This window comes from Homo sapiens, chromosome 3 (genome assembly GCF_000001405.40).
Source record: "Homo sapiens chromosome 3, GRCh38.p14 Primary Assembly".
NCBI classification, from domain to species: Eukaryota; Metazoa; Chordata; class Mammalia; order Primates; family Hominidae; genus Homo; species Homo sapiens.
In genome coordinates, this window is record NC_000003.12 from 66,973,405 (window position 1) to 66,992,220 (window position 18,816).

Below are 18,816 nucleotides of genomic sequence, written 5' to 3' on the forward strand. Positions count from 1 at the left end.
TAATTTGGCCAGGCGCGGTGGCTCACGCCTATAATCCCAGCACTTTGGGAGGCTGAGGTGGGCGGGTCACCTGAGGTCAGGAGTTTCAGAGACCAGCCTGGCCAACATGGTGAAACCCGTCTCTACTAAAAATACAAAAATTAGCTGGGTGTGGTGGTGCATGCCTGTAATCCCAGCTACTCAGGAAGCTGAGACGGGAGAATCGCTTGAACCCAGGTGGTGGAGGTTGCAGTGAGCCAAGATCACGCCACTACACTCTCGCCTGGGCGACAGAGCAAGACTCCATCTCTAAAAAAAAAAAAAAAAAAGGTGTTAATTTAACATGAGGAGAATCTAGGAAGGGAGACAATGTGTACCATATACTATTACAGTTAGCAGCATGAAGTTTTGGGTTACGGAGATCTGGGGTTAAATCTCAGCTTTACCTCTTGCTTTTTAAATATCTTTGGATAATTCATTTGTTTATTTTTTTGAGATGGAGTCTCGCTCTGTTGCCCAGGCTGGAGTGCAGTGGCGCAATCTCGGCTCACTGCAAGCTCCGCCTCCCGGGTTCACGCCATTCTCCTGCCTCAGCCTCCCGAGTAGCTGGGACTACAGGCGCCCACCAGCATGCCTGGCTAATTTTTTGTATTTTTAGTAGAGACGGGGTTTCACCGTGTTGGCCAGGCTGGTCTCTGAAACTCCTGACCTCAGGTGACCGGCCCACCTCAGCTTCCCAAAGTGCTGGGATTATAGGCTTGAGCCACCGTGCCTGGCGCGTTAGCCAGGATGGTCTTGATCTCTTGACCTCGTGATCTGTCCGCCTCGGCCTCCCAAAGTGCTGGGATTACAGGCTTGAGCCACCGCACCCGGCCTGGATAATTTATAATATTCTCTCTGAGCCTCAGTTTCTACATCTGTAAAACAGAGATAATTGTAGAGTGTACATGATGGAGGGTGAAGTGATCGTTACATACAGAAATCCACTTAAAATGTGACAGAAGTTTCAATAAAGGTTAGCTCTTATTCATAGTAATAATGTTAATATAGCTAATCTTGTCACCAAGTCTTGGTGCTGGTGGCATTGAATGGTTCTTGAGTTATGAGTAGGATTTCAATACAGGGCTGGGGGAAGGAGATGAGGCAGGAAGGACAGCTCAGAAGTGAGAAAGAAGGCAAAGTCAGAATGAACAGAGGGTGGCTTACTCTGGCTAGGCTCAGTCTGGCCTCATCACACACTAAAATGTGTAGTTAGAACAATCACTTGTCTTGCTTTACCTGGGACTGAAGGGTTTTCTGGGGAAGCAGAACTTCCGGTCAGCAAAAACTGGGGAAGTCTTGGGAAAAGGAGGATAAGATGATCACCCTACATGCATTAGGCCTTTCTTGTGTTGCTATAAAGAAATACCCGAGACTGGATAATTTATTTTAAAAAAAGAAGAAGTAGTTTAATTGGCCCACAGTTCTGCAAGCTGTAAAAGCATAGCACCAAAATTGCTTAGCTTCTGGGGAGACCTCAGGGCACTAGTATTCATGGCGGAAGGCAAAGTGGGGGCAGGCACATTACACGGTGAGAAAAGGAGAGAGTGGGGTGGGGGAGGTGCCACACACTTTTAAATGACCTGATCTCCTGAGAACTCACTATCACTACCATGAGGACAGCACTAAGCCATTCATGAGGGATCTGCCCCCATGACCCAATCACTTCCCACCAGGCCCCACCTCCAACACTGGGGATTACATTTTAACATAAAATTTGGGCGGGGACAAATATACAAACTATATCACTATGCTTCAAGAATTGTGGCTCAACAGACAAGGGTCTTGAAGGCCATGTGAGGGGGTTGAGGCTGTATTTGTAGGCAATAGGAAGCTCTTGAAAGTTTTTGAGGTGAGGAGTGACTATTCAGAAGTGTGTTTCAGGCAATCAGCCTACAAAACAAAGGTTTTGTCTCTCATCCTTGCCCAATAAGTCTCTTCTGCATTGTTCCTTCCACAGTCCTTGGTTTATATCTGCCCTCTCTGTTTATCACACTGTATCTGTGTTAAAAATATATGTGAGTGTCCTCATCATCTTACAATATAATCTCCTCAATGTCAAGATTGGGTCTTCACCATCTTATCTCCATTATGTCTTATATAAGCTCAATATGTATTGAATTAAGTTGAAAGCTTGTGATTCTATACAATACAATATTAATTGACATTTACAATTCATCTCGGTTCAAAATTGAACATCAGGTGTCAGTGTGTCTAGTAATTATTCTTCTGATGACATGGAAAGTCAATCTTTAAAATATTGATTGGGAAATCTACACACAAAATAATCCTCTGTAAATGTAAGAAAGTGTTCTTCTCTTTTCCATGAACATTTCTAATTGAAAAAACTGTTCTTACCCACTCAATTGACCAGTAAATGCTTTGTAGTATGATGTTCTCTTCCCTTTCTGGGCCTGAGATACAGGTTCCCATGGAACCTCGACTGTACCTGTATCTCAGGTAAAGGAGAGCAATTGGTAGAGTTTCCATGCAGGGTTCCAGTTGGCCTAAGGTCATTTTTGAATGCTTACGGGAAAAGTTTGTTTTAGGCACTGATATGGTTTGGATCAGTATGCCAACCAAATCTCATGTTGAATTATAATCCCCAATGTTGGAGATGGGGCCTGGAGGGAGGTGATTCGATCATGGATGCGTTTTTCATGAATGGTTTAGCACCCTCCACGTGGTGCTGTTCTCATAATAGTGACTGAGTTCTCGTGAGATCTGGCTGTTAAAAAGTGTGTTGCACCGCCCATTGGCTCTCCCTCTTGATCCTGCTGCAGCCATGTGACTTGCCTGCTTCTCGTCACCTTCCACCATGATTGTAAGCTTCCTGAGGCTGAGCAGATGCCAGCACCATGCTTCCTATCCAGCCTGCAGAACCATGAGCCAATTAAACCTCTTTTCATTATACGTTACCCAGTCTCAGGTATTTCTTTATAGCAACGTGTGAATGAACTTATACAGGCACTGTCAAGTCAATGAATCAAGTAAAAAGCATTTACACACAGACCCTAACTTATAATGGTTTGGCTTACAATTTTTTGACTTTACAACGGTGTAAAAGTCAGCAACATTATGTATAAACTATACTTTGTGTACCCACACAACCATTCTGACTTTTTACATCATTGCTGTAGTCAATAAATTATATGAGATATTCAATATTTTATTATAAAATTGGCTTTGTCTTAGATGATTTTGCCCAACTGTAGGCTACTGTAAGGGTTCTGAGCATGTTTAAGGTAAGCTATGCTATGCTATGATGTTCAGTAGGTTAGGTGTATTTAATGCATTTTTGATTTACAATATTTTTTTTGATGGGTTTGTCAGGACGTAACCCCATCATAAGTCAAGGAGCATGTATATTTATTTCTATATGTACAGGATTGTGGAAGAAGCCAGGATATATTAATCTGTGAGATAACATAGCATGGTGGGTTTTTTGGTTTGCTTTTGTTGTTTTGCTTGTTTGTTTGTTTTATTTGAGATAGGGTCTAGCTTTGTTGCTCAGGATGGAGTGCAGTGGTGCAATTATGGATTGCTTCAGCCTCAGACTCCTGGGCTCAAGTAATTCTCCTGCCTCAGCCTCCCAAATAGCTGGAACTATAAGTGTGTGCCACCACACCTGGCTAATTTTAAAAAAAATTATACAGACAGGGTCTTTCTATGTTGCCCAGGCTGGCCTTGAACTCCTGGCCTCAAGCAATCCTCCTGTCTTGGTCTCCCAAAATGCCGGGATTACAGGTGTGAGCTACCACACTGGGCCTAGCATGGTGGTTTTAAAGCAAGGATTGTAAGGCCAAAATGACTAGAGTTCAAATTCCAGCTCTGGATTTCACTTTCTTATCTTTGATAAGATATTAACCTCTCTTAGCCTCAGTTTCTTTACGTGCAAAATGGAGGAAAAACAGTACCTTCCTCATAGGATTGTTATAAGAATAAAATGAGATAATGTATGTAAACTCCTAACACTGTGAACACATTTTATGCAAGAAGTATGTTCCTAAAGCCCTTAGATACTCTAAGACTGACCCAGGCAAAGGATGAAATATGTTTCATTTACTGGCTAAAGACAGACTTCCTTGTAGACAGTTCACTGATTCAATCACTCATTCATTCACATAGTTTATAAACACTTAGCTAACCAAGCTTTGAAATTACATGATTCTTGACAAATTTTGGATTCCTGGCTGGGTTTGCTTGGGTTCCTGGGAAGCAGATACTACGTAGAGATGAGCATTCAAGAGGCTTAAGGGCTGGGCACGTGGCTCACTCCTGTAATCTTCGCACTTTGGGAGGAAGAGGCTGGTGGATCACTTGAGGTCAGGAATTTGAGACGAGCCTGGCCAACATGGTGAAACCCTGTCTCTACTAAAAATACAAAAAATTAGCTGGGTGTGGTGGCGTGCACCTGTAATCCCAGCTACTTGGGAGGATGAAGCAGGAGAATCACCTGAACCCGGGAGGCAGAGGTTGCAGTGAGCAGAGATTGCCCCACTGCACTCCAGCCTGGGTGACTGAGTGAGATTCCCTCTTTAAAAAAAAAAAAAAAAAAAAAGCTTATTAAGGAGTGGTGTTGGGATATTTACAGGTAGGGAAAAGGATGCAGTTAAAACAAAGGCTCCAGTCAACCCTGAAGGATGCTCTGAAGCTGAGATATCTCTTTTAGGATGTCCAATGTTAAGGCAAAGGCACTGGGTTTTCATACCCATTTTGACCAGTTCTTCCAGTTCTTGAAGGGAAGGAGGTATGGTCTGCAGCAGGGCAGCTCTCTTCAGCTGATGCAAAATCTGGAGAGACACTGACCTGAGATCAGTCAGCCCATTTTACTCCCAGCAAGTGGGTAAATAAGGCCTGAAGGAGGGCATCTTAGCAGAATGATACCCTGTCTACTGCAAGCCAGGTTGTTGTGACTTCAGATGTACATAAAGTGAAACTTTATATTTTATTGTTACATAATTTCAAAATGATAGACTTTGCCACCTCCCTGGGTATGTGCCCTATTACTATTGTCATGCTGCCCTAGACAATGAATTTCCCATTTATTTAATGGTGCCTCCTTCTTAGTAATTTGGTAAGGATTACAAGTTACGTAATGTATAGAAGGTGCTTTACGAAGATCCTGGCATGCAGCAAACGTCTGGCACGTGTTAGCTGTTTTTATTAAGAGAAGGTCTATGAATACAGAAGGACTCAGTAATAAATGAAGGAAAGGAAACTATGTTAGGATTTAAAAATTTGCAGACTGATTTAAAGCACTGGCAAAGTTTACATTATGGTATTTGACTAGTGGGTGTCTCGGTCTAGTTTTATGTCAACATTAATTGAAGGTTTGGGTTTTGGCACCTGGTGGGAAGCCTAGGCGAGACTGTGAACATTCTTCTCTCCCTCTTATTACAAGGGAATTTAAGAATCTTAGAATTACACTCTGTCCATTTGGGGAATAAAAACGTAAACAATCATAGCAAAAAAAGGACAGAGACCAACCAAGATGTAATAAAGGATTCAAATATGAGACACAGGAAATTTATCCCCCAACTAGGTCCTCATCCCTACACATGTAAAAATATTCATTATTTCACTCAAATTCTTATGAGTTCTTGTAGACAGATACTATATTTCTCTAAATGATTTTTTTTTTTGAGACATAGTCTTACTCTGTCACCCAGGCTGGAGTTCAGTGGTGCGATCTCGGCTCACTGCAACCTCCGCCTCCTGGGTTCAAGCGATTCTCCTGCTTCAGCCTCCTGAGTAGCTGGGATTACAGGCACACACCACCATGCCTGGCTAATTTTTGTATTATTAGTAGAGACGAGGTTTCATCATGTTGGCTAGGCTGGTCTCAAACTCCTGACCTCAAGTGATCCGCCTGCCTCGGCCTTCCAAATTGCTGGGATTACAGGCATGAACCACTGCGCCCGGCCTCTCTAACTGCTTTTTAATGTGCTAAACATAGTATGAGCACAATGAATAAAGTGATAATATTCCTTTTGGCTGTCTTAGGTGAAAGGTGATTTTAACACACACACACAGACACACACACACACACACACACACACACACATTTATATACCTATTTGTAAAGGTAGATTCAAAACAAAGGCTTCCTTAACAGTGTCCTGCTCCTACCCCTTCCTCATCCCCAATAGGATTCAGATGTTTATTTTCAGATGAGGAACTATGTCCTACTCTGATTTTGTTTCGTTTTTATTAATACCTCTACAAGTACTTAGCACAGTGTCTGGAATGCAGTGAGCGCTCAATAAATATGTGCTGAATAAATGACTGAATAAAGTTGAGAGCTGGAAAGGAGGTTAGAGATTATACTGCCCTCATTCTAGAACAGTATTCAGAGAGATTGAAGTATATGTGGGAAGTTGCAGAGCTCTGAGTCAGAGTAAGGATCCAAGTCTCCGAACTCTCCCGCAAGGACCCTTCCCACCAAAGGAGCCCTGCCAACTGCTGCACTTTAAGGACCCAGGCAAATGTGCTCAGAGCATTGCATGGCAGTCATTCCTTCCCAAAAAGTTTGTTCTCCTAAAGACATTTGTTTCTCCAAGCCTGGAAGTAAAACAGAGCACTTAGAACCCATAAAATAATGTTAATGTGGCCTACTCTTCTCCACATTTTTTTCCTTTCATGTCTTTGTGAAACTTCCTTTTATTTGTAGGACGTATAGCATTTCTTCAGTAATCATTAATCATTCCTTATGGTTCCAAGGTTACTCTAATTATCTATTAATTCCACAAATATGAAGTAGGTGTACATCATGCACTAGACAGAGAAATGAGGACAAGAGCAAGTCTGAGGGCTGGAAATCTCTAAATTCCATTTTATTTTAAAAAATATTATTCATTATTTGAAAGACAAGATTTTTTTAAAGCATCTATGATCTCACGATTGTCACATGATAATGGCAGGATAATAGCATGATAATAGGATTCTGGGGAAATTTCTTTCTAGTCTTTTCTCTCAGGCATATTTTTTCATAGTTATTACAAAAATGCACCAACATCTGCAAATTCTTTCTCTCTTAATATTATATGATAAGCATTTCTTTCTTTTTTTTTTCTTGAGATGGAATCTCATTCACTCTATTGTGCAGGCTGGTGTGCAGTGGTGTGATCTTGGCTCACTGCAACTTCCACTTCCTGGGTTCAAGTGATTCTCCTGCCTCAGCCTCCTGAGTAGCTGGGATTACAGGCGTGAGCCACCACACCCAGCTAATTTTTTTATTTTTAGTAGAGATGGGGTTTTATCATGTTGGCCAGGCTGGTCTTGAGCTCCTGACCTCAAGTGCTGCTTCCCAAAGTGCTGGGATTATAGGCATGAGCCACCATGCCTGGCCTATATGATGAACATTTCTATGTTTCAACATAGCTTTCATAACTATAATGTTTGTTGATTGTACAATATTCTATTGAATGCATACACCACAACTGACAACCATTTTCCTAAAGGTGAACCAGAAGTCAAAGAAATGGACTTTTTGTGGCTCTTTAAGTGCATATTGCCAAATTCCTGGGTCAAGGGATAGAATTCTGAATTTAATTAAATCAAATAAGGAAGTAGCAATGGGGATGTTACTGTGACCGCTACTGCCAGCAATAGCTGAGCCTAGTGTGCAAACATAAAGAGTTGTTCTGAGCTAGGGCCCACCTTTTTGGCTCAATGAAGACTCATTAGAATTCTGCTGGATCAAGAAGTTATATCTTAGAGATCTGCATTAGAAATGCTAGCTAAACTGTATTGTTGCCACTTCTTACACCTGACTGATCTGTGACAGTTTTCTAATAAACAAGAGAAAGAAAACTTTTTGGGGAAACACATTTTCACGTCATTTTTTTTTTTCTAACGAGGTCAAACAGGTTCTGAAGCCAAGGCTTAAAGAGATAGAGTATTACAGCATTGAACATTTCTGCAACATTAAATTTTATTGTCAGAAACCACTATGGCTTAGAAAGAGGCCACTAATCAAATTAGTGTCCTTAGGGGCCTGAGTTTACCACTGAGTACATAGCGACGTGGGACTGAGGGTTTCTTTGCTGTACTCATGTGGTCATGCTGAGATGGAACCCTCAGGAACACATCTGGATAAGTTAAGCAAACACATTTTGATGCTTCATTCAGTAGAAAGGGACCCCCATCTGTTCTTCACCACACAACCTAATTATCGGGTAAATAGACACTTTCTTTCCTGCATGTTTATTCCTCAAAGCAATGTCTCCAAGGGTGGCTGAAAATGAAGAATTAAAAACACCACCTAGGACTTGAGCATGCTTCTGTTTTCATACGAATTAACTTTAGAAGATCCTTGAGAGTTAAGTACTATTTTTATCCCCATTTTACAGATAAAACAATGAAGGCTCAGAAGCATCAGGTGATTTCAGTCACCAGGTCAGCAAGGGGTTGTATCAGAACTAAAATTCTCATTTTGGATCTCAAATCCCATATGCTTATTAACCTCAGTGCCATAAAGATGAATCACAGAAATATGTAAGGTGACTGTTAAAAATCTTAGTGCCATTTCAAAGATTCTCTAGACATGAGAGTTACAATAGATGGAAGACGCAAAGAAATGACAAAAACTATGTCAGAACTGTCACAGACTCCAAGGCACCAGAAAAAAATTGGAGGAACAGAATAAACAAGTTCCCAAACACAGGTGCAGTTCCCACTTCAGCCGGGGAAGACACTGTGCCTAGAAAAGCTCAGAATCATGCCCTAAAATACCCATATCTTTTCGATTCACACTGGAAACAAACAGCCTTACCCCATGCCCAATTTCTAATCATTCAGAAGACTGAGATTATACACTTGACCTCACAATCAAGATTTCATAAATGCATACATTTTGTGCTGTCTTTAAACCATCAGTGTGACCTTTGGAATATTCTTAAGATTTTAAGAGACTTCCATAGATTATCTGAGCCAGGCCTCAGCCTTCTGACAAATCTGAATCATTATCCACATGAGGGAACTGAGGCCTGGAGAGGTTGTGACCTGCTCAGGGTCCTACATTTGGGAAAGTTAGAAGAGGAAGGGAAAGGAGCCTCCTGCAGGGAAGGGGCTTTTTCCACTATGACTGAGGGAGAACCAACATTTCCTTTTGTCAATAGACCTTTCAGCCAATAAAATAGAAATTCCATTCTGTTTGAAAGGTTGCAACTATCACCTCTTCAACACTTCTCAGAGAAAGAGAAAAGAATTATCTGGCTGATGAGATGGCAAAAACTCTGATCTGTATTTCTCTATTAGAAGCTATTGATAGGTTTAACATTGCTTTGCTCCCATGGCTCTGTTCTCTCCACATACCTGAACTTCTGTTTGTGCTGGGCGGACACAGTTCTTTCTACACCCAGATTTGGGGGAAAGCATTTAGAATTCCCCTTTGGCCATTTGTCCATATCATTCTTTCCAATCAGGCTTGGCCAGATATAAAGCTATTGTATTGATCCCTGTTTACTTTCTACGCCTAATATTCAGTTGGTTTAGGATCCAGACAGGGGGCGAGTAACTGAATTAATTTGCTTCCTTAGAAACCTCCACAATTTCCAAGACTTCTTTTAAAGTTTCGCCGAACTTAATTCTTACATACATGTATTAGAAGCTCCCTTAACAAACCTCAGACTTAGCAACTTGCCAGATGAATGATCACCCCCTATTGCAGGTTTTCCTATTAATAGCACTATTGACATTTAGAGCCAGATAATTCTTTGTTGTGGGGGCTGTCCTGTGTAATGTAGGTTGTTTAGCAGCATACCTGGCCTCTACCTATAATATACCAGCAGCATTTGCCTAGTTGTGACAAGCAAACTTGTTTGCAGATTTTGCCAAATGTCCCTCGGAGGGCAAAATTGCCCCTAGTGGAGAACCATTGCTCTCATCCATCAGGAACACAGAATGCCTGATAACCACAGCCTGCTGAACCCTCCAAGATGCCCATGCTCTCCTGATCCCATTAGTTGAGCTATGGGCTTATCAAGTGTCAAGTTGTACATCAAAGCTATTAATGTCGCTTGCACTTGTAATTATGTAGTTCACATAAATATCATGCCATCCAATGAAATGTGACACAAAGAAAGACAGTATTTGTTTGCTTTTTTTTTTGAAGTCAGATGATTGGAAGAGACTCTATATGGCAGAGACAAATTATTTCTTCAGCATATCTTTTTTTTCTTCTGGATATACAATGAAACAATTCCTAGCCTCCCCTGCAGTTAGGGGAAATCTATTTGATTGAATTCTGGGCAATGGAAAGTGGGCAAAAATGAATACCATTTTGAGGTTTAGCACTTAAAATTCTCCTTGTTCTCTCTTGCTGCTTCTGTAAAGGATCCAGAAGAGGTCTCTGATGGCCTAAGGCAGGGATTGACAGACTTTCTTTAAAGGGTCGGATAGTAGACATTTTCAGCTTCCCATCTTATTGTTGAAAAAACAGCCTTTGGCTTATGGGCAGTAGATTGCCAACCCCTGCTGGCATGATAGGTGTGATGGTGCAACAGCATTTCCCACAAAGATGCTTAAAAAAAAACCCTGTCACATTAAGTATAGGTAAAACAAATATATAATATTATGGGAGACTAAAAATCTAGACTGATTCTATACACAGATCATTTCAAAACTCTTTAAATTCTCATTCTACTTTAAAGATATTAAAAGTAGAAAGCATAGACTGTGCAATCACAGACACTATATAAATAAGGAAAATAGTGCAGGATTCTGGTCAGCAGATTCAGTCCAAGGTGACGTCTTGGTCTTACACCAAAATACTGGTGAGAATGATCGTTTATGTTTTGAATTCAAATTAAAAGTCCAAGCTCTGTATCTTTTTTTTAATAATCATTCTTGATTTTAACAGGTTTTTTTCCTTCTCTTTTTTTTTTTGCTCTTCTTAAATTTTTTCATAGGTTTAGGGCATACGAGTCTAATTTTCCTACACAGATGTATTGAGTAGTGGTGAAGTCTGGGCTTTCAGTGTACCCACTACCTGAATAATGAATATTGCACTAAATAGGAAAAATTTCAACCCTCGTCCCCCATCCTGCCCTCACACCCTTTGGAGTCTCCAATGTCCATTGCTTCATTGTGTTTTAACAGACTTTTTACTAAAGTAAGAGGGCTCTATTTCGACTCTCTTTTGTGTGAAAATAGACTGAAATGGTACGGCAGAAGGGCCTTAAAGAAATGGGAGAGTCCCACAATACTGATTCCTCTGTCCTGGGTCTTGGCTGGGACATCACCTTTCCCAGATATTTATAATACAATTGTGGCAACATTCTAGATGCAGAAATGTTAGACTCCCTAAATTTTGCCATATAAAGATGTACAAAAACAGCAGTTAGTACAGTTTATTTAATATAAATGGACATGGGCTAGGCATAAGAACAAGGTAAGGAAAATTAAAAAAAAAAAAAAAAAAAAGAAACAGAGAACTTCTCTCCTGTAGTTCCTATCAGCTCTCCCTCGTAACAAAATGTTTGACAATTGTTTCAGGCCTCTTGGGCTGCCATGACAAAATACTGTATACTGAGTGGCTTAAACAACAGAAATGTATTTTCTCACAATCCCAGAGGCTAGAGATCCAAGATTAATGGATTTTAATGAATGTTAATGCATTCATTAACAAAGATCTAAGGTGTCAGCACTGTCGGGTTCTGTTGAGAGCTCTCTCCATGGCTTGTAGACAGTTCCTTTCTTGCTGTGTCCTCCTATGGCAAGGAAAGAGAGAAAGGAAGAGAAGGAGGGAGAAAAAGAGAAAAGGAGGGAGGGAGAGCTGTCTAGTATCTCTTATTGGGGGTGGGGGTTATTTTACAGTATTTTATTTTATTAATTTTATTGTTTACATTGACAGGTAAAATTGTACGTATTTACTGTGTACAACATGATGTTTTGAAGTATACATACATTGTGAAAGAACTAAATGTGGCCAATTAACATATGCCGTACCTCGAAGTTATCATTTTTGTGGTGAGAACACTTTATATTCACTCTCTTAGCATTTTTCAAGAATGCAGTATATTATTAGCCATAGTCAACATGTTGTGTAATAGATTTCTTGAACTTATTCCTCCTGCGTAACTGAAACTTTGTATCCTTTGAGCAACATCTTCTTACCCTGCCCCACCCAAATACCCCAGTCCCTGATGACTACCAGTCTGCTATGTCTATGAGATCAACATTTTTAGATTCACATTTGAGTGAGAACATGTGATATTTGTCTTTCTGTGTCTGGCTTATTTCACTAAATGTTTTCCAGGTTCATCCATGTTGTTGAAAATGACAGGATTTCCTCCTTTTCTATGGCTGAATAGTTTCCATTGCGTATATATACCACATTTTTCTTTCTTTTTTTTTCAGATTAGTCCACTGAAGCAGTGAGAGTATACTGCATTTTTTTTTTTTAATCCACTCATCTGTTGACGGACACATAGGTTGATTCCGTATCTTGGCAATTGTGAATAGCGTTGCAATAAACATGGAAGTGCAGATATCTGTTTGACGTACTGATTTCAATTCCTTAGGATATATACACAGTAGTGAGACTGATGGGTCATATGGTAGTTCTATTTTTAATTTTTTGAGGAACTGCCATACTGTTTTCCATAATGGTTGTACAAATTTACATTCCTACTGACAGTGTGCAAGTTTCCCTTTTCTCCATATCCTCGCCAACACTATATTTTGTCTTTTTGCTAATAGATATCCTAAAAGGTATGAAGCTAGTCCAGTGAAAAAATGTGGAATTTAGCTATAAAGTTATATCCCAGATGGCAAGTTTTGTTTCCTAGTCTGAGCCTCAAGCCTTGTGGAACAACTGACTCCAGAATGTCAGCTATGATGCCTGGCAAAAGGATATTTGTGGGTTGTTAACTTGTGAATCAAAAGGCAAACCCTGGCCCAGCAGTATGTTATACCTCATTTTGGTTTTAATTTGCCTTGATATCTCTTCTTATGAGGGTACCAATCCGACAATAAGGGCCTCACCTTTATGACCTCATGCAAACCTAACTATCTCCCAAAGGCCCATCCCCAAATATTACATGGGGGTTTAGGGTTTCAACATATGAATTTGGGAGAGATACAATTCAGTACACAGTAGCAATCAACAAGGAAGTCACCAAGGGTGCAATCTGGTACAACGAAGTGTTAGGCCTCATATGCACCCAAGTGCTAATTCAGCACTTTTTCTCTCAGCATAATGTATAGCGAGTGAGCCAGGCAGCCTAGGGCCTGGTGCTGATAAATCAAAGTCATTTCAGACTAAATCATCATAAAAAAGCATACCTTTGCCGGGCATGGTGGCTCATGCCTGTAATCCCAGCACTTTGGAAGGCTGAGGCGGGTAGATCACAAGGTCAGGAGTTCGAGACCAGCCTGACCAACATGGTGAAACCTTGTCTCTACTAAAAATACAAAAATTAGCCGGGTGTGGTGGTGCACACCTATAGTCCCAGCTACTCAGAAGGCTGAGGCTGAGGCTGAGGCTGAGGCAGGAGAATTACTTGAACCCAGGAGGCGGAGGTTGTGGTGAGCCGAGATTGTGCCACTCCACCCTCTCCATCCAGTCTGAATGACAGAGTGAGACTCCGTCTCCAAAAAGAAAAAAAAGCCTACCTTTATTTTCACCTTCATCCATATGCCTTTTTTTTTTTCCGTTAAGGAGAGAAACCAGTTGACACTGTGTGGCAAAATCTGGAATCATCTATCATCACTATTGGAAAAATACCCAGGAGAGCAGCAGCATCAACTTCTATTCATTAACAAAGATCTCAATACAGTTGAGCATCCTTAGTCTGAAATCCTTCAAAATACCAAATTTTTTGAGTGCCAACATGATGCCACAAGTAGAAAGTTCCATATCTGTTGAGGTGTGGGGAGCTAGGGAAGGGATAGCATTAGGAGAAATACCTAACGTAGATGACGGGTTGATGGGTGCAGCAAACCACCATGGCATGTGTATATCTATGTAACAAACCTGCACGTTCTGCACATGTATCCCAAAACTTAAAGTATAATTAAAAAAAAGTAAAAAAAAAAAAAATTCCACATCTGAAGTCATGTTCCAAGTTGCAGTCAAACACACAGTTGTACCTTTGTTTCACGAACAAAATTATTAAAAGTATTATATGAAATTATCTTCAGCTTATGTATATAAGGTATATGTGAAACATAAATGAATTCTGTGTTTAGACTTGGGTCACATCCCCAAGATATCTCATTATATATGTTCAAGTTTTCTAAAATCCAAAACATTTCAAAGTCAGATACATGGGTCCCAAGCATTTGTGATAAGGAATACTCAACTTGTACTGCTTTCCATCATATCCAAACACTCACTCTGGCCAGGTGGGGTGACTCACACCTGTAATCCCAGCACTTTGGGAGGCCGAGGGTCCAGCATTGCTTGAACCCAGTAGTTCGAGGCCAGCCTGGGCAACATAGTGAGACCCTGTGTCTACAAATGATTTAAAAATTATCTGGGCATGGTGGCACATGTCTCTAATCCCAGCTACTTGGGAGGCTGGGGTGGGAGGATCAGTTGAGCCTAGAAGGTTGAGGCTGCAGTGAACTGTGCTCTCACCATTGCACTCCAGCGTGGGCAACAGAGTAAGACCCTGTCTCAAAACAAACAAAAAACCAAACATTCATAGTTCTGCCATATTTTCTTTAAGGAAAAAACAAAATAATTTTTATTGTCATCTCATTGCAACAGTTCAAGCTTAGTAGAACCTCCTTTCTACTACTTTTGTTTCTTTACTTTTTCTTTTGAAAATGTTTAAACCTGCAAGAGTACAGTGAATTCCCACAAAGTCTTTAATTTACCAAAAGGTTGACATTTTACCACGTTTGCTATATTATTTTCTGCATATGTACTTTTATACTTATTATTAGTGCCATACCACTTGACAATAAGTAGTAGAAATCATGGCCCTTCACTTTAGCTTGTATTCCTTTTTTTTTTTTTTTTTTGAGACGGAGTCTCGCTCTGTCGCCCAGGCCGGACTGCGGACTGCAGTGGCGCAATCTCGGCTCACTGCAAGCTCTGCTTCCCGGGTTCACGCCATTCTCCTGCCTCAGCCTCCCGAGTAGCTGGGACTACAGGCGCCCGCCACCGCGCCCGGCTAATTTTTTGTATTTTTAGTAGAGACGGGGTTTCACCTTGTTAGTCAGGATGGTCTCGATCTCCTGACCTCATGATCCACCCGCCTCGGCCTCCCAAAGTGCTGGGATTACAGGCGTGAGCCACCGCACCCGGCCTTTAGCTTGTATTCTTTTAGAACAAAGGCATTTACCTAATAAACAGGGCCTAGAGGGTGAAAGGAAGAAATGGCTGGTATTCACCAAGGACAGATACAAAAGGGACCAATTTTTTGACGAAGAATTTGCACAGCAATTAAATTTCCCCTGTGACTGCAGGAACCTTGTAAGTAAAAGAATTTCAAACTGAGCTTAGGCATGCTCCTTTGACCTGTTTTAGCCTGAGCAATTAATAAAGTGTTTGGATTGTATTTGCACTACAAGCCTCAACTCCCTGAAGAGTAAGTAGGCTAACACACAGGTGGAAAAATTAGCAATTTATTGATTCGGTACATTCCAAACATAGTTGAAGCTTTCTTAAGCTGTTTCTAAGACCCCAAGCTGTGTGCATTCTTGTGATCATATTGGCTCCCTCTCAGCCATCGGGATTAACATACTGCTGGGCCAGGGTTTGCCTTCTGATTCACAAATTAACAACCCACAAATATCCTTTTGCCAGGTAGTCAGTTCCGGAGTCAGTTCTTCTGCAAGGCTTGAGGCTCAGACTAGGAAACAAAACTTACCCTCTGGGAAATAACATTAAACCTAAATTCTAACACAATTTGATGCTGAAAGATCAAAGATTCCTCAGTGTAGTTTACTAATAGTTCCCCACCGTTAAGTATAAAAAATTCCTTCCACATGCCTTTCGCCTCTGCATTCAACTGTGTTTGACAAAGCCTGTCTCACAAACTCAATTAGAACCACTGAGCTTAAACACACCCCTTTCCTTGGTCACTTACAGTAGATCTTTTCCTGACTGCTCCTATCGTGGCAGGGACTGCTCTTAGAAAAATGTGCTCTTGTAAAAAAGATCTCACAATAGCTCTCACATGAAGCTTATCGTCAATGGTCAGTGTCCGATTATGTCATGCCGTGTTGTTTTTCCAATGGGACAGACTGCTGCTTTCATCAAGTTGGAGGATATATTTATGGTACTGTTTTGAAGGGCAGTGTTTTAAGTTTGAATTACAAGATATTTTTGAAAATATAGTCAACTCTTTCATTTGGAGCTCAAAATGAATATACTAAATCTGCACTTCTGAATAGAAGTCCATATGCCTGGACATAAAATGTGCAGTGATAGAGCACAGTGGGACTTCATGAGTATTGGTGTATATAGTCTCAACTATAGACATTTCGAAGGCATAATTTTCATTTCAATAGATTAAGGCATGTGTGTGAGAAAAGCGTGAAAATTATAAGAGCCCAGAGTTCTTAACTATTGACATTTGGGGCCAGATAATTCTTTGCTGAGGTATAGCCATCCTAGCCTCTATCCACTAGGTGCCAGTATCAACATTCACACCCCAAAAGGAGACAACCAAAAATGTCTCTAGAGATTCCCAAATATTCCCTGAGGGACAAAAATCACCCTTGGGGAGAATCCCTGCAATAAATTGTTTTGGTTTATTTTCCCATGTGGCCAAAGTAAACCAATCTTAGAAAGTGCTGGTTTGTCTTAGTCATATGTGAATATGCTACGGAGTGTCTACTTACCTGCACGGTCACAAGGTTTTCTTTATCTCTGCATCACTAAGAGTGTCTAGCACAGTCCTCTTATAATATGTCTGTGATTGGTGCTGATTCCCAGATGTTTCTAGCTTTTCTCCTTCCGGGAATGGTAGAATAGGACTTCCTATTATACTTCCACTTTAGATGGTCACATGACTTGTTATGGCCAATGAAATGGGACTGGAAGTGATGCGTGTTTCTCCAGGTGGAAACATTAAGATCCAATGCACAATTTACCACGTTTCCTTTTTTTCTGGCATGGTGACCAAGCACATTTGCCAAGATGGCTGCTCTCTCAGTCTGGCCTCTCAGTTACTGCAAAGAGTAGAGCCCCCTGCTGATCTGACTTGGATATAAGCATGAGTGAAAAACAAAATTTTGTTGATATAAGCTGCTGAAAGTGTGGGGTTGTTTGTTACAAGTAACAGTATGTGTTAGTTACAACTAACAGTATGATAGGCTAAGATATGTTTTCAGTGTCACAGACATTTGAATTCAGAGCGCCTATGAGTGGTTTGGTTCCTTTTCTTCCATACTTTAGAAAGGTTAGGAATCACCAGTGATGATGAGCCTATGCCACCACATTGAGCTGAGAAGACAGCTGCATCTTGGGTTCCTGCTCCAGCTTAACTGTGATTAATCTGTAAACTGGTTAATTTACCATGAAGAACAACAAATTAATTGCTATATAATAAGCTGAAAAATTAAATGGAATTTTCATTTTACTATTCAAGTACTACCACAAGTAGTAATAACTAATATTTACTGAGTACTTTCTCTGTACCAGTGGCTGAGCTAAACACTCTGCATATATTTGCATAGATTATCTCCTTTACTCCTCATAATAGTTCTGTAAGGTTAATGCTCTTTTAGCCCAATTTTAAAGCTGGGAAACCTGAGGCATGAAGAAATTATTAGCTTCCTCTGCGTCATAGCTAGAAAGTGTTTCAGTGAGATTTGAACTTGGGTAGTCTGATTCCAGAGTGTGTGCCTCTTCACAGTTACGGGAATCTACCTCCTAAAGAGTGATTTTCACTCTGATACCCCAGAAAACCAGGTACGTATGTATTGTGCAGACATAGACACAAGTTAGAGCTATGTGTTCTCTAACAAAGAGGTCTTGAGAAACATTGGAGAAAGCAGCCATATATTTGAATTGGCACAAGATCAGTTAAAGGCTGGTTCTTCTCCATGGATTATGGTAAACCGAGTCGCTCAAATCTACTGTAATTAAGTGAATATAATTCTTTCTTAGGGATTAAACTGGGTATGCAAGAGAACAACATGTAAAACATCTGTTCTTAAGATGCTTCTTTGGCCCTGTGTCACAACTAATCTACTTAGTGTTATAATTTTGTTTCCAGATATATATATACAGCATTCAGCCACAATTATGACTAAGGCTTAAAGTCTCTATTATATTAACCTGCCATCTTTAAGTCTTACAGCCAGTAAGGTGGCTTATCTCCAAATATGACTCACACGCAACCATACTTCCTGGTATTCAGGACATTTTGCAATTCCCTCCCATGTTGAATCTCACTCTTCTCACAAGATGACCCAGGGAGCCCCTCCTGCAACAAAAATACATACTTTACAGATAGATTTGGGGTGATTGTTTACCTTGCAATTTTCTGTTTAAAGTATTATTTATTTGAGTTCTTTTAAATGTTAAGATTCTCTCCATTTTTATTAGTATTAAACATTTGATGGAGAGACCTGGAGGAGAGAGCAGAGAGAAGTAAAACTGAGGCCATGAAACTTAGCGTTCAACTATTGGAAAGCTCAGTAAACTCTTCATGCAGTAATTCATCCATTGTAATAGTACAATGAATGAATGACTCTTCATGCAGTAATACAGTACTACTATGATGGATGAATTACTGCATAAGAGTTTACTGTTTATCCATTGTACTACTTTCCTTTTGCTGCTGTAACAAATTACCACAATCTTAGTGGTTTAATACAGCACAAATTATC

General features: G+C 40.4%; 4 annotated features.

Moving 5' to 3' along the window:
- Positions 14,547-15,296: an enhancer, noted in NCBI's record as "OCT4-NANOG-H3K27ac-H3K4me1 hESC enhancer chr3:67038375-67039124 (GRCh37/hg19 assembly coordinates)". NCBI's record gives its function as "activates a minimal SCP1, AML or CMV promoter by ChIP-STARR-seq in primed H9 embryonic stem cells {active_cell/tissue: H9 hESC(primed)}" and the evidence as "EXISTENCE:reporter gene assay evidence [ECO:0000049][PMID:30033119]".
- Positions 15,297-16,046: an enhancer, noted in NCBI's record as "OCT4-NANOG-H3K27ac-H3K4me1 hESC enhancer chr3:67039125-67039874 (GRCh37/hg19 assembly coordinates)". NCBI's record gives its function as "activates a minimal SCP1, AML or CMV promoter by ChIP-STARR-seq in primed H9 embryonic stem cells {active_cell/tissue: H9 hESC(primed)}" and the evidence as "EXISTENCE:reporter gene assay evidence [ECO:0000049][PMID:30033119]".
- Positions 16,047-16,796: an enhancer, noted in NCBI's record as "OCT4-NANOG-H3K27ac hESC enhancer chr3:67039875-67040624 (GRCh37/hg19 assembly coordinates)". NCBI's record gives its function as "activates a minimal SCP1, AML or CMV promoter by ChIP-STARR-seq in naive H9 embryonic stem cells {active_cell/tissue: H9 hESC(naive)}" and the evidence as "EXISTENCE:reporter gene assay evidence [ECO:0000049][PMID:30033119]".
- Positions 16,802-16,861: an enhancer, noted in NCBI's record as "active region_20044". NCBI's record gives its function as "activates an Ori minimal core promoter by ATAC-STARR-seq in GM12878 lymphoblastoid cells {active_cell/tissue: GM12878}" and the evidence as "EXISTENCE:reporter gene assay evidence [ECO:0000049][PMID:35858748]".